This window comes from Homo sapiens, chromosome 7, assembly GCF_000001405.40.
Source record: "Homo sapiens chromosome 7, GRCh38.p14 Primary Assembly".
Taxonomy (NCBI): domain Eukaryota; kingdom Metazoa; phylum Chordata; class Mammalia; order Primates; family Hominidae; genus Homo; species Homo sapiens.
Window position 1 is genome coordinate 149,558,862 of NC_000007.14, and position 16,817 is coordinate 149,575,678.

The 16,817-nt window shown below is 40.7% G+C and overlaps 1 pseudogene across 2 annotated transcripts in view; it reads right to left on the bottom strand.

Annotated features, from left to right (window-relative positions):
* Positions 1 to 16,817, bottom strand: part of ZNF767P (zinc finger family member 767, pseudogene) — a 77,637-nt pseudogene that overhangs the window by 11,708 nt on the left and 49,112 nt on the right. The window lies entirely within an intron of this gene.

Below are 16,817 nucleotides of genomic sequence, written 5' to 3' on the forward strand. Positions count from 1 at the left end.
CGTACCACCTCAGAGGTTTTCTTGGTGAGGGTTTAGAGCACACAGAACAATGCCTGGCTGTGTCTGGTGGCTCATGCCTATAATCCCAGCACTTTGGAAGGCCGAGGCAGGCGGATCACCTGAGGCCAGGAGTCTGAGAGCAGCCTGGCCAACATGGCGAAACCCCGTCTCTAATAAAAATACAAAAGTTAGCCAGGCATGGTGGCGGGTGCCTGTAATAACAGCTACTCAGGAGGCTGAGGCATGAGAATCACTCAAACCCAGGAGGCGGAGGTTGCAGTGAGCCAAGACTGTGCCACTGCCCTCCAGCCTGGTTGACAGAGGGAGACTCTGTCTCAAAAACAAAACAAACAAACAAACAAACAAAAAAACCACTAAAAAAACAGTAAGGAGTCGGCATGGAGATTTGAAACAGAGAGATTTTTTAGTCTGTAGTCTCATGCACTAGATCCAAGCCATTGACATGTCACTCAACAGGTGAATGACTGTATTTTTCTGACTAGTCCCTTCCCTCCCTTCCCCTCCTCTCCCTTGTCTTCCCTTTCCTTTTTCCTTACATCTCCTTTTCTTCTTTCAAGAGTCTCACACTCAGCTCAGGTCCAGCTCAGACTGGAGTACAGTGCCATGATCACAGCTCACTGCAGCCTCCAACTCCTGGGCTCCAGCAATCCTGCCACCTCAGCCTCCTGAATAGCTAGGACTACAGGCACGAGCAACCATGCCCAGCGAATTGTTTTTAATTTTTAATTTTTTATAGAGACAGAGGTCTCACTCTGTCACCCAAACTACAGTGCAGTGGTATAGGTCACGGCTTACTGTACCCTCAAACTTTTGGGCTCAAGCAATCCTCCTGCCTCAATCTCCCTAGTAGGTAGGACTACAAGCCCGTGCCACATGTTCAGCTCATTTTTTTATTTTTTAATTAATAGAGATGGGGTCCTGCTGTTTCCCAGGCTAGTCTAGACCTAGCCATCTCAAGCAATCCTCCCGTCTCAGCTTCCCAACAGCTGGGATTACAGGCATGAGAAACCACGCCCAGCCATAACTAGTATTTCTTCAGTGTTGAAACCACAGCTATGACATTGCCATCTTACATCAGCAGGGTTGACCCACCCCATTGAAAATGTGTCTCTCTTCCTGCTGCCTACTCCCCTTCCACCAAGGCCACGGAACCCTCAGCCAGCAGCCTTGCAGCCTCCTCTCCCTCATCTTTCTCCCTCTGGGTGAGAACAAAACTCCAGAGAGCTATTGACCTATACAGAGTCAGCAGTCAATCCCCTCAATTAAATTTCTCAAATATTTAGTAATCAGGAGGCCAGTCTTTGTGGGAGGATACAGAGATGAGTGAAATCTAGCACAAGTCATCCCTGTTCTCTCTTAGAAGCTCTCGATTTAGTGAGAAAAAGTGATGTGCAACAAAAAATGATATTAGCTGTGATAGAAAGCAGTGTGGACTACAGCCGGGATACCTCCGGGTGTGGACTTAGTGACAGCTCTGCAGACAGTGAGCGTCAGTGGGGTCTTGAAGGTGAGTGTGTGGGAAGGGCATGCCAGCCAGAAAACGCAGAGGAACAAAGATGCAACGTTGTTGCAGTGCTTTCTGGGTCTAAAAGAAAGACCCAGGTGTGTGTGCCTGGGTGTGTGTGCACCTGTATGTGTTCATGCTTGCAGGTGTGCCTGCTTGCATATGGAGTAGATTGGAAGTGTTTGTGTGATGAGTGTGCAGAGCAGGGGGTGGGAAGACTGTGACTGCAGCCTAAGGCTTGGAAGCGGGTGACTAGACTCAAGACTCTGCATGTATGAGATGTTTTGGAATTCCAACCGTTCTTTTTTTGAGATGGAGTCTCACTCTGTCACCCAGGCTGGAGTTCACTGGTGCATTCTCAACTCACTGCAACCTCCGCCTCCCGGGTTCAAGTGATTCTCCTGCCTCAGCCTCCCGAGTAGCTGGGATCACAGGCTTGTGCCACCACACACGGCAAATTTTTATATTTTTAGTAGAGACGGGGTTTCACCATGTTGGCCAGGTTGGTCTCGAACTCCTGACCTCAGGTGATCTACCCACCTCGGCCTCCAAAGTGCTGGGATTACAGGCGTGAACCACCGTGACCGGCTGAATTCTGAGTTTGTTCTGTGGGCTACAGGAGTCCTGTGCCCTAAAATGAAGCAACCAGGTCAGGTCATTTGTTTCAGAAGGTCATTTTGGAGACACTACAGAGAATGATTTGGAGTTTCCCAAAAGACAAGGACAGGAAATGGTGTTATTTTCGGAACCCCTGTTATGTGCTAATATCACACTAGGCAGTTTATCGTAAGTTATATTTGTCATAAGAAATGTTATCTGTGTTTAAGAAGAAGAAACTGAAGCTTATAGAGTTAATTACCCTGCCCAGTGACACAGAGTAAGGAAAGGAATGCAGAGGAGAAAAAGGGATTCCAGAGAAACTTTCAAGATAAAATATGTAGGACTTGGTGACTGATCAGATGTAAAGGCTGAGGAAAATGTGAGAAAGAAGAGTCGAGAAATAAAAATTTCTTTTTTCCAGAGAGAAATATAGCAGTAGCTACAAGGGAAAGTGGGCAATCTAACCTAACTTAGGATAGAGACTGAGCATGCTTTGGGTGGGGGAAGCAGAGATTGAGAAAGAACACAATCAATTCAGTTATAGAGACAAGAGTACAGATGGGGTGATTTGCTTTGGAAGGAAAGAGGAGAATGTTTTCTCTGAGACAGAAGGGAAGGGACTGAGAACAGATGAAGAGAGATGTCTCCGTGGTAGGGTGGGAAGCCGAGGAGCTGAGGTGTGGCAGCTTTGATTCTCTCTGTAAAGCAGAGGGAACGCATCGCAAGGACAGAGTGTGGGGAGACAGCAGGTCACTGATGAGCCTGCAGTCCGAGCAGAGGGACTTGGACAGTGCGAAGAGGAGGAGTGTCATTTTGTTGGAGCTGGAATTGGGTGCCGCTCCTCTCTGGAGTCCACCTCTCAATGGGCACTGAGAACACTGATGTCCCCAGATACACTTGTCCCTGCCTAGGTTAACACAAAGAGAGTGCCAATGATTGTACTCTCCAGCTCTTTATGTTTTCATTCTATGCAGATCCTGGCCCAAGGTGTCTAGGTCACTCTCAGGAGTAGACCAGGTTACTGGTTTCCTCGTGTACAGCCCAGTTCTACCTTCTGTCAGTCACACATTAACCATCTTTTGGGTGATCCCCTCAGCAGAGGAATCCATTCGCTCAGGGGACTCTTGCAGATTTTTACTAGTTAATTCCAGGCTTGGCTGTGGTAGGAATCTCACCTCTAAACTGTGAGGATCTCTTTCTACAGTGTCCACAAGAAGACCGTAAAGGAGATAAAAAGAAACTAGAACTTGCCGGACCAAGATAGGAAATTTAATCAAAAGTGTTACCAGTATGAACATGGAATATAATCCATTAAATTCCCTACTTAAAACACAAAAAAATTCACTGGATTAAAAAAAATTGTATCTTGTTCACAAGAGAGGATACAGAAATGTTAAAAATAAAAGAACAGGAAAAGATATCTGTATCTATAACAACTACATATAATGTAGCTATAGTAAGTAATAGAGAAAATAGTTTTTGAGGCCTGAATCATTACCAGGGATAAAGAGAGTCATTTTGCATTGACAGAAAGTTCAATTCACCAAAAAGAGTAATTCTAAATTTGGTATACCTAATAACATAGCCTCAAAATATAATAAGCAAAAATAAACAAAATTGAAAAAGAGAAATGGATAAACCTCTGCTGGATCTTTCAAGTGAGAGATCTTAAAAACCCTCGTGAATTTGTAAACAAGCACACATAGTATCAAAAGGACACAGACGATTTGGACAACATGACTAACAAAACTGACCTGTTTAACATGTAAAGAATCTTGCACTTAAATGCAGAATATGCATTTTTTTCCAAGCACACGTGGAACACTGACAAACATGAGTTGTATACTGAACCACAAAGCGAGTCTTAACAAATTCCAAAGTATTGAAATCATAAACAGCATGTTTTCTGACAAAAATAAAATTAAGCTAGAAATTAATAACATCAAATAACTAACAAATCCAACAAATATTAGAAAATCTTTGTGTTTAGAAACTAAAAATTCTACATATAAATAACCCATGGGTCAAAGAATAAATTGTAATAGGAATTATAAAATATTTTGAACTAAATGATGAAAATACTAGATATTAAAATTTATCAGTTGCAGCTCTAGAGTACTTACATGGCAATTTACAGTCTTAATGCATCTCTAGTATTATAGAAAGAAAAGGTTAAAATGAACAAACTAAGCATCTCTCCCAAAAGGCATGAATAATAGTAAAATGAATCCAAGGAAAAAATAAGGGAGAAAGTAATACATTAATTAATGAAAGCACAAATTAATTAAGTAGAAAACACACAAGAGAGAGGGTCAATGAAGCTAAAGTTGTTTTTTGAAACAAACAATAAAAGTAATAACCCAGACAAGATTGACAAAGTAACACTAATAACCAATATCAGGAGAGAAAAGGATGCATTATTATAGTTCCCCCAAAATTAAAAAGATTGTAAGATATTATTATGAGCAATTTTATGCCAATGAAATGTAATATTTACATGGCATGGAAAAGTTTCTAGAAAAGTAAAACTTACATGAAGAGAGAAATTCTTTGTCTGCTTGATGGTCTTGGCTCTCTCTCCCTTCTCATTAATCTACTTTAGTTTAGCAGTACTAAACTGGTTCAAAGGAAAAAAATACAATTTTTTAGCTGATACAGGTACCATTATGCCAACCTCATAAGCACTTGGTGGCAATGCTCCACATTCTCCTGTCTACCAGCAAGGCTGATTCTTTTGCCAAGAAGCTTCTACTATTAAGTATTCCCTCCAAACTTCCCTGTAAATATCTGATGTGGCACAGAGAAAGAACGTCTCTTCTGGAGTACTTGCTACCGTGTGTCTAACTGTGTCCAGCTCAAGAACATGTTTCCTTGAAATAAAGAGAGTTTGGGAAGTTGCAGACATTCTGATGCATTGTTTGTAACTTTTCCCAAATAAATCTTACTTTATGCTTATACTAGTGGTATTTGTCCTCGACATCTGGCTTAATTTTATCAAAATTGACACAAGAAGAAGTAAAAATCATGACTAATCATGGAACAATTAAGGAACTTGTATTTTCAATGAAACATTCTGCCATTAAAAAAGTAACAAAAAACTTCCAGGCACAGATAGTTTAAACACTTGTTATACCAAACACTTGTTATACCAATCACTTCAGAATGAAACGATGTAAGTCTTACACAGACACTTCTGGAGAATAGAAAACTAAAAGCAGCAGTCCCTTTCCCACCTCATTTTATGAGGTTAAACTTATTATAAAAAATAACAAAGACAATGTAAGAAAACAGGCCAATCTCACATATTAATATAGAATAGACTTTAAAAACCATAAGCAAAACTATTAATAAATCAAAGCCAGCATTACATAAAAAATAACACATAACCAAATTAAGATCATTTCAGAATGTAAGCTTGACTTAACATTAGAAAAATCTATTACTGTAATTCACCACACTATAGGATATAGCAAATGCTGTTGCTGCCCCACTGATATTCCTTCAGAACTTATCAGTTCTGTGCATGCAGGCCCCAATTTCAACTGTCAGCACCTGTAACTTTATGTCTGAGGGCATTCTCAGGCTGCCCAAACATGTAACAGGCTGAAAGTACCAAATAATTAGGACCCAACCTTCGAAAGCAACCCTCTACCGATGACTGATAGCAGTAGATGGAGAAATACACAAGTTGCCTTGTTCTTTTGGAGAGGATAACCCTCAAGCATGTTATACATCTTACAAAGTCCCCAACGGTATTAAGCTCCAGTTGCCTATAATGGTAACTTGTCCAATATCCCACTGTGAAAGTTGTCAGAATGAAAATGGAGTCACTTGTGTTAAAACCCGGCAAATGGAGCCAGGGAAGGCCACAAAGGTAGAGCTTTTATATATGAATTCCTGATAACAAGAACTATCACAAAAGACTGTAAAAACCACAACCTTGCACAAAGGCCATTGTAACCTTACACACTCACAAAAAATACTTCTGCAAGGACATCTGCCCAGCAAAAGCCTGACTAGCCTTGGACTGTTGCCACCCTTGTTACTGATTGCTAGAGCCAAGAATTATTTCTCCAAAACAATTTATATAATCCTTCTCATTTTGCCTTTAAAAACTTTCCCTTACCATGACCTCCTCAAAAACACACATAGTTTACTGTGACACCTGTATTCCCATTGCCAATGCTCATTCCCTAAATAAATATAATTTCCTTTCAGAGAGCTTCCGTCTGTTATTTAGGTTAACACCACCTTTTATTGGCTTCTTTCCTTTCTCTGACTTCCCACTCCTTACTGGTGTTTCCTGAACTTACCTCCCAAATAAACTACTTGCTCTTAAATTCTAGCTTCAGGGTCTGCTTCTAAGGAAATCCAAGCTAAGACAACAGATTAAAGGAAAAAAATCATGTCATTAAAATAGATGAAGAAAAACATCCAATCAAATCCAACACATCTTCATGATGTGTCTACCTAAAACATAAAAAGAAATCTTATTTAATGGTGGGATGGTGAAAGCTTTCAATTGAAAACTGAAAGCAAGACAAAAGTGTTCTTAAAGGAGAAATGGAAACTGAATTGAGGAGCAAAAGGCTATCAAAATTCACCAAATATATTTTTAAAATAAATCAACTAAGACATTCCAGAAATGAAAAGTATCAATGTTTTCCTTTTTATTTACTTTTAATTGAAATACAACTCACAGTAAGGTACAGAAATCTTCAACGTACAGCTCAATTAATTTGTACACATACATACCTATGTACCCACCTCCCAAATCAAGATACAGAAAATTTCTAGCACCTCAGAGGGCCCCCTGGGTCCCCTTCCCAATTACCCTCTCTCCCGAAAAGGTAACACTATTGTATCACCATGGACTAGTCTTGCCTGTTCTTGATTTTATATACTGGAATCATACATAGTTACTCCTTTGAAACTGTTTTCTTTCACTCAATCTTATGTCTATAGGATTTATCTGTGTTTTTCCACTGTAGTGGTACTCTGTCCTTTTAAAAACTCTGTTTGGGATTCCATTGTATGACTAGACCATGACTTATTTACCTATCCTACTGTTCATGGACATTTGTTTCCAGTTTGGGACTATTAAAAGAAATGCTGCCATGAACATTCTTGCATGTACATATACATTCTCTGATGTCTGTATCAAGGAATATAACTGTTGAGGAAGAGGGTGTTTCTATTTTTACTTTTAGCCAATAATGTCAGATGGTTTTCTAAAGTGGATACAGCAAATGACACTACCACTAGCAGGGGATGAGAGTTACTATGGTTCCACATACCATCACTGAGTAACATCAGTCTCTTTCATTTTAACCAACCTAGCAACAATTCTAGCAATAGTTCACTGTGGTTTAACTTGCACCTTTCTAGACTCATGAGGTTTGAGCATCTTTTAATAGGCTTATTGGTCGCTTGGATGTCCAGTTGTATGAAGTAACTGCTCGAGTCTCTTCGTCATTTTTCTACTGAGTTGTGTATTTTTAATTGTCTTGTGCAATTCTTTACATATTTTGGGTATAAACCCTTCATCAGTTATGTGCAATAGATACCCTCTCCTGCTGTATGAGGTTTTATTTTCTTACTTGTGTTTATTGGCTCTCATGAATGTCAGCTGATTTCCCTGCGAACTTTTTAACTGTTCAGCAAACAGTATACAGAAGTTACTACGTGCCAGTCCTGTCTTCAGTGCTTTACACAGATTAACTCATTCAATCTACACAACAATCCATCAAGTAGACACTCTTATTACCCACATTTCACAGTAACAAAGTTGAAGAAAGGGAAGGGCAGTAATCTGCCCAAGGTCTTCTAGTGGGGTAGGCCTTGAAGCCAGGCTGTCTGACTTCAGAATCCACACCATTGGTATCCACGCTGCACTGTTTCTCCCAGGCTTATTGTACTTGTCCAAACTCTATCGATAGGCATTCTTTGAAGCATAGTTCCTGATGCAGTCTGGGGAGGATTTTCATTTGGCCAGGAGCCTATAGCACTACACATCCAACTGCAACATGAAATAAGTTGCCTGTAGTTTTTCAGACCCAATAAAGACTGTGAATTCAGGGCCCATTAAACCCCAGTCACTCAGCCCGTGGCTAGGGATTCTCGGGACTGGTTTTCTTTTTCCTGTCTTCTCTTCACTCCTTCTGGAAGAGCTCAGCCCTTCTTGTATCCTGTCTTTGTGCAAGGCAGTCTCCTTCCTGATTCCTCACCATGTGTGGGGCCTAAGACTTCTTCCTAGAAATGCCCGTTCATCACTGTACTACTGACACCTGGCCTCCAGAATCCAAACAAGTCCCAGCCTTCCTGGACTCAGGCTGCTGCCCAGCCCTGCCAGCAGAGCGTTCTGTGCTCCTGCAGGCTCATCAATTCTTTGCATCTTCCCTGGCAGTCCACCCTACTGCCAAAAAGGAAAAGCAAGAGGATTTTAACATTATCATAGAAATCATGGTGGAAGTCAGTGTTTCCCCAGGCTCTTGGGCCTGCAGCAGAGAGAAGTGGCTGGCTGTTGACTGCCTTCTGAGAAGGCTGCCAGGACTACAAGGCAAAGTCCTGTGGGTAAAGGAGAAAATTCCAGTAGCAGGGAAAGGCCGTTTACAGAAGAAGAGTTTGCCAGCTCCTGTGACAAGAGCAGAAGTAGGGCCTTGGCACAGCTGAGGAGGTGAAAAGGTATAACCCAAGTGTTACTCCAAGTATTCTTTCTAGGTGGGATGGGGCTCTGTCTGTCATCAGAAAAGGTCACATGGGATGCTGGAAGCAGTGGCTCATGCCTGTCACTCCAGCACTTTGGGAGGCCAAGGAAGAAGGGTCACTTGAGGCCAGGAGTTTCAGACCAGCCTAGGCAACATAGTGAGACTTCATCTCTACAAAAAAATAAAAAAGATTAGCTGGGTATGGGGGCACCCACCTGTGGTCCCAGCTACTTAGGAGGTTGAGGTGGGAGTATTGCTTCAGCCCGGGAGTTAGAGGCTGCAGTAAGCTATGATTGTTTCACTGCACTCCAGCCTGGATGACAGAAAAATACCCTGTCACTTAAGAAAAACAATGCAAGCCAAGTGGAGTTGTTCTGTAGCAACAGTTTTTGGTCATGAAACTATGGTAACACTGGCCCTATTAATGCTTTTGGGAAATCTACTCAGCTACACACTTCTCACTATTTCTTGGAGTTGCTCCTTCTCTATCATTCTTCATTTGTATTAACTGAAGAAGTAAAAGTTGAAAGAATCATCTTTTGTCCTAGACTGCAGTTGTGCTGAATCTGCCCTGAATGGAATACTGGGCTAGGAGAGCCAGACCTAACTCTGTCATTAAGTGTGTTAGGATAGACACCTCGGTCACACAGTTTCTCTTGTACATGCCCACCATAACAGGTACTGGAGGTTGACTCTCAAGGCCATTCTAGCAGCCACTGGCAGTGCTTTTCCAGGCTGCTGCCCGCAACCAAGGACTCAAGGCAGCGAAGACACAAGATCCAGGGTATTTGAGAAGGGGACACTGCCTCTTGTTATGCACAAGGTCAATGAGTTTTCACTGAGGTAGGCCTGGCAGCTCCTAGGAGCTTCCATTGCGAAGTGGCAACGCATAGGTCATCTGGGTGTGACTGTACAAGTCAAAGACATTAATTGAACCCCACAATAGCAGGAGGGGGCATAGCTCAGGGGTGGGGTGTTAGACTACAAACCAAGAGGCCACCACTTCGATTCCAGATACCCCCTCCGCATTTTCTATTTTGACATTTGTAGAAAGTAAAAAGTTTTGTTTTCAAAGTTTCTCTTTTTATTAAAAAATAAATCATAAGTGTTAAAAGTAATAGTTTCTTTTAAAAAACTAACTTCTTTCAAGCCTCTTTGCTTTGTGCCGATAACTCTTTATTAAACCTTATCTTATGTAGCTGTTACATATAAAAGAATAAGTACATTCTATGTTTTGTACTTTAACCAAGATATTTGTGCTAAACATGCTTACAAGCACATTCTAGCTCGCATCCTGTGTCCCTTCCTCATTAAAGAATGTTATTACTTTTCTAAGTCTTTTCATAAGCAACTTCCTCTTTTCCTTTCTTCTCCATTACTTTTACCTATTTTAAAAAGTTTTAAATTGGAAGCTAATCAAATTTAGTTTAAATTATAAAGTCTAGCTCCAGCCAATAGAGACAAGACACAGTAGAAAAGACAAGCTACATAAAACATAAATGTGCTCTGGCCATTATTCCATCTGCAAAGAGCCCCCTTTCTACACAAAGTAAAATTGCCTTGCTGAGAAAACTTTTTGTCTAAATGCAAATTTTTCCTTGCAGTACCAAAAAACAAACATTTTATTTCTAAATAAACATTTTACTTATAACAAAATGGTGGCCCGTACGGGGATACATTCTCTTCCTCTCTCATGAAGACACGCCCCACTGCCTCATTGCAGTGGCCTCAGGGGTAAGGAATTGAGTCACACCCGGTGCAACAAATAAACCTAGACTCTCAGCAAGGCAGAAAGAAACCAGCCGGCAACCTAGAGTAAAAGATCTTCACATACCACATGGACCAGGTAACCTCATGCATGAGCCAAGGAAGGAAACACCAGAAAAGCTGGTAAAGAATTTCACTGGTGGTCAAGACTAAAGAAAGAAAAGCTGCAGGACAGTGAAGCATTCCTTGGTTAAGACATACCAAGGAAAGAGAAACCACAGGGGCGATAAAGCATTCCTTAGTCAGGACTAAGGAAAGAAAAGCTGCAGGAGGCGAGTGAAGTATTCTTTAGTCGGGGTGTCTTGGAGGTTAAAAAGAGGTGAAAAATCCCCATTAGGGGGAGATTGAACCTCACACAAACCTCTGGTAGTAGGAAAAAATATTTAGAACTTCCCTTTCCCGTCTTCTCAGGGGAAGAAAGAGGCTAAGCTCCACTCCCGCCAGCCACTCCCTAGCGGGAGGGGAAGGAGAGAGGAGAACAGCAGTGTAGGTGGCTGGCAGAGGCATGGAAAGACCAGCAGAGAGAGAAAGAGAAAGAGAAAGGCAGAGACAGAAAGCAAAAATCTTTTGGCAAAGTTTTAAAGTTTTCTAGAAGAGGTGAAAGAAGAAAGGGAACTCAGGAATGCAAAGAGAAAGAAAGCAAAGTCAGTACTTTAAAGGAGAAGGTCAAAGTAAGTGTGTAACGGCTACGGATGTGAAGGTAAGGAGGAAAGACAAAGGGGCCCTCTAGCCCAGGGTTAATTACTTGTGCAATTTGCGCCGGGCATCTGCTGAGCCTCTGGGCTGGCGTGGCCTGGGCCCAGACTGCGGCCACACAAATCCCACCCAACCCAAAAGACTAAGTAGAAAAGAAAAAGGAAACGGGATGACAGAGAGAGAGAGAGCAGCAAATGAGAGAGAGACAGAGGGAGAGAATAAGTGAAAGAGAGGCTGAAAGAGACAGAGATTACAGAAAGACACAGAAGGTGTGACTGGGGAAAGAAATAGTGTTAAAAGAAGTCAGAAAGTTGAGGCACGTCAAAGATGGCCTATGAAAGTTGTAAAAAATGTTATAATAGGGAATTTATGCAAGGAATATTGTATAAAAGTAATTAGGTGTCCTAAATGTAAAACTATTAAAGAAACAGTTTATGTGCAAAGCATGTAAGGAAAGTGAAATATACTTTTACTAAAAGAATTATAAGGAGGCATAAAAATATGGATTTTTACCTACATTAAAAGGTTAAAAAAATAGGTGCTAATGAAAATTCAAAAAGAAAATAAATATTGCTAAACCAAAGAGAAATATTATCCAAACCCCTTATAAAGGAAATCTTGCTCCAACTGCATCAAAAAACCCATTAAGGGCCCTCAAGCGCAAAGTTATTAACAACAAGTTTCCACCTCCAGTGGCTCCTAGAGAGGCTGCAGCACAAGCTGATGGGGGAACCTAACCTTGAACAGACATTTCCTGTGCAGGGGAGGGGGTCAAGTGGCCATTAGACAGCACAGCCCAGCCCAAGGCCGGGGCCAGACAGCGAGGGCTCGGACAGGAGCAAAGTCTGAAGGCGGCCAGGTGAGGCACAAAGCCCCTCATTCCCAAAGCCGCAACGCACAGGAGCAGTGAAGGCCACGGGGAGGTGGAGACCTTAAGAGTGGGCAGGGCTGTCGCATCCCCTAGGCGACGCTAAGTGGGGATGAAGCAAGGGGTGTCACCATGGGGCCTTAAGCCCCAAGATATGCAGAGTTCTGACAAAATAAGGAGCCCCAGAGAGTCCCTCAGATGTAAGTAAAAATAAAAAAAGAAAATTTCTCAGCAAAAAGGCACTAGAGACTATAAAATCAAAGAGACACCTATAAATTGCCTTACTTACATTCCACTGCTAATGTCCCCACATTTAAAACAAAAAAAGCAGCTTCTCAGAAATTATAGACTTAGTTTATCTTCCACTTTCCCTTCCCTCAGAACTAAAAGTCTTTTAACACAAGTACCACCCCTAAAATTTCTGGTAAACCAGCACCAGCCTGGAGACCATGTCATCATCAAAAGATAAAAAAAAAAACAAAACCAAAAACTCAAGCCAGTCTCGGGATGACCCTGCCTCATGCTGCTAACCACTGAGACTGTCATTCGCACAGCAGAAAAAAGACAGACACATCACACCCAAGTCAAGAAAGCATCATCACCGTCAGAATCATGAGCCATTGTTCCAAGGTTAAGCCCTATCAAATTAAAGCTAAGAAAAACTCAATCTATCTTTTCTTTTTCTTTTCTTCCCTTTACTCCCCATCTTATTATTAATGAACTAGATCTAACTCATCTCAAGTTATTACTTTTGATGCCTGTTTAGTTATACCTTATAGAGATTAACATAACCAAAGACAGCTTACTACTTCAAAAAAAATATCTCTGTCCCTCTTGGACTTCCTCAGATTGGGAAGACATAATGAGTTCCTGTAAGTATTTATAGTATAAGAGCCAACATTTCAAAAAAAAAAAAAATCCTAGAGAAATTTTTGAAATGCGCTTTATTGCTACTTCAACTTCTCCATCAATCACTCCTCCCAAACACAGTGACAAAACCAAAGTCTCTATAGTAAAAGAAAATCTAAATCAAACAATAGCAATTAAAACAGGGTATCAGGATATAAATGCCTGGCTAAAATAGATTAAATATTCTATCTGCACTCTAAAAAAAAGCAATTGTCATGCTTGTGTGCATGGTAGGCCAAAGGCCCAGCTAGTCCCCTTTCCACTCAGATGGTCCTCTACAAGACATCGACTGCATGGTAGCTCCTTTTCAAAATCCTACAGCCTGGGATAGTGAACTGTGCCAAACTCTCTCTCTGCTATTTCCTGAAGTGCAATACCCTGTGGGTCAGCTGCCGAGGGCCATCCAGCCTCCATATTCCAAGACCAATTTTACCTCGTGTCTCCAACAACAAGAGAATAATTTGGTGATCCTTAGAGACTAAACAGGAGGCAGTGAGGTCAAGCACTTCCAAGAGCTGATGCATCAGTATGCCCTTATTCATCCCAAAGCAGATGTATAGTAGTATTATAGAACACCTTTACTAGACACCCTGACAAATAATTAGAGCAGTACTTGTGCTCTAGTTCAATTAGCTATCCTTTTACCCTAGTATTTCATCAACCAAAAAAACTTTTTCTTTTAAAAACTCAAGCAAAACAGCTAACCCAAGACATGTTAAGAAAGTTTAAAGAGAAAAAAACTATAAAATCAAGAGGAGCAAATTGTAGAAAGTAAAAAGTTCCCTCTTCAAAGTTTCCCTCCTTGTTAAAGAATAAATCATGTGTTAAAAAATAATAGTTTCTTTTAAAACCTAACTTCCTTCAAGCCTCCTTGCTTTGTGCTAATAACTCTTCATTAAGCCTAATCCTATGTAGTGGTTAAATAAAAAAGAATAAGTACATTCTATGTCCTTGTACTTTAACCAAGATATTTCTGCTAAACTTGCTTACAAGCATGTTCCAGCTTGCAGCCTATGCCCCTTCCTCATAAAATCATGCTGCTATAAAGACACATGCACACGTATGTTTATTGCGGCACTATTCACAATAGCAAAGACTTGGAACCAACCCAAATGTCCAACGATAGACTGGATTAAGAAAATGTGGCACATATACACCACGGAATACTATGCAGCCATAAAAAATGATGAGTTCGTGTCCTTTGTAGGGACGTGGATAAAACTGGAAACCATCATTCTCAGAAAACTATTGCAAGGACAAAAAACCAAACACCGCATGTTCTCACTCATAGGTGGGAACTGAACAATGAGAACACATGGACACAGGAAGGGGAACATCACACACTGGGGACTGTTGTGGGGTGCGGGGAGTGGGGAGGGATAGCATTAGGAGATATACCTAATGCTAAATGACGAGTTAATGGGTGCAGCACACCAACATGGCACATGTATACGTATGTAACAAACCTGCACGTTGTGCACCTGTACCCTAAAACTTAAAGTATAATAATAATAAAATCAAAAAAAAGAATGTTGTTATTTTCTAATATTTCATAAGCAACTTCCTCTTTTCCTTTCTTCTCCATTACTTTTACCTATTTTAAAAAGTTTTAAATTGGAAGCCAATCAAGTTTAGTTTAAATTATAAAGTCTAGCTCCAGCCAATAGACAAGACACAGTAGCAAAAACAAGCTACGTAAAAGATAAAAATTGCTTCCCTCCATTGTTCAAGTGTGCTCTGGCCATTATTCCATCTGCAAAGAGCACCCTTTCTACACAAAGTAAAATTGCCTTGCTGAGAATACTTCTTGTCTAAATGCAAATTTTTCCTTGCAGTACCAAAAGACAAACATTCTATTTCTAAATAAGCATTTTACTTATAACAACTTTTTTTTATTATACTTTAAGTTCTACAGTACATGTGTACAACGTGGTTTGTTACATACGTACACATGTGGCATGTTGGTGTGCTGCACCCATTAACTCGTCATTTACATTAGGTATATCTCCTAATGCTATCCCTCCCCACTCCCCCCACCCCATGACAGGTCCTGGTGTGTGATGTTTCCCTTCCTGTGTCCATGTGTTCTCATTGTTCAATTCCCACCTATGAGTGAGAACATGTGGTGTTTCGTTTTTTGTCCTTGTGATAGTTTGCTGAAAATTATGGTTTCCAGCTTCATCCATGTCCCTACAAAGGACATGAACTCATCCTTTTTTATGGCTGCATATAGTATTTCATGGTATATATGTGCCACATTTTCTTAATCCAGTGTATCATTGATGGACACGTGGGTTGGTTCCAAGTCTTTGCTATTGTGAATAGTGCCGCAATAAACATACATGTGCATGTGTCTTTATAGCAGCATGATCCATAATCCTTTGGGTATATACCCAGTAATGGGATGGCTGGGTCAAATGGTATTTCTGGTTCTAGATCCTTGAGGAATTGCCACAATGTCTTCCACAATGGTTGAATTAGTTTACAGTGCCACCGACAGTGTAAAAGTGTTCCTATTTCTCCACATCCTCTGCAGCACCTGTTGTTTCCTGACTTTTTAAGGATTGCCATTCTAACTGGTGTGAGATGGTATCTCATTGTGGTTTTGATTTCCATTTCTTTGATGGCCAGTGATGATGAGCATTTTTTCATGTGTCTGTTGGCTGCATAAATGTCTTCTTTTGAGAAGTGTCTGTTCATATCCTTCACCCACTTTGTGATGGGGTTTTTTTTTCTTGTAAATTTGTTTGAGTTCTTTGTAGATTCTGGATATTAGTCCCAGTCAGATGAGTAGACTGCAAAAATTTTCTCCCCTTCTGTAGGTTGCCTGTTCACTCTGACGGTAGTTTCTTTTGCTGTGCAGAAGCTCTTTAGTTTAATTAGATCCCATTTGTCAATGTTGGCTTTCGTTGCCATTGCTTTTGGTGTTTTAGACATGAAGTCCTTGCCCATGCCTATGTCTTGAATGGTATTGCCTAGGTTTTCTTCTAGGGTTTTTATGGTTTTAGGTCTAACATTTAAGTCTTGAATCCATCTCGAATTAATTTTTCTATAAGGTGTAAGGAAGGGATCCAGTTTCAGCTTTCTACATATGGCTAGCCAGTTTTCCCAGCACCATTTATTAAATAGGGAATCCTTTCCCCATTTCTTGTTTTTGTCAGGTTTGTCAAAGATCAGTTGGTTGTAGATGTGTGATATTATTTCTGAGGGCTCTGTTCTGTTCCATTGGTCTATATCTCTGTTTTGGCACCAGTACCATGCTGTTTTGGTTACTGTAGCCTTGTAGTATAGTTTGAAGTCAGGTAGCATGATGCCTCCAGCTTTGTTCTTTTGACTTAGGATTGCCTTGGCAATACGGGCTCTGTTTTGGTTCCATATGAACTTTAAAGTAGATTTTTCCAATTCTGTGAAGAAAGTCATTGGTAGCTTGATGGGGATGGCAATGAATCTATAAATTACTTTGGGCAGTATGGCCATTTTCACGATATTGATTCTTCCTATCCATGAGCATGGAATGTTCTTCCATTTGTTTGTGTCCTCTTTTATTTCATTGAGCAGTGGTTTGCAGTTCTTCTTGAAGAGGTCCTTCACATCCCTTGTAAGTGGGATTGCTAGGTACTTTATTCTCTTTGAAGCAATAGTGAATGGGAGTTCACTCATGATTTGGCTCTCTGTTTGTCTGCTATTGATGTATAAGAATGCTTGTGATTTTTGCACATTGATTTTGTATCTTGAGACTTTGCTG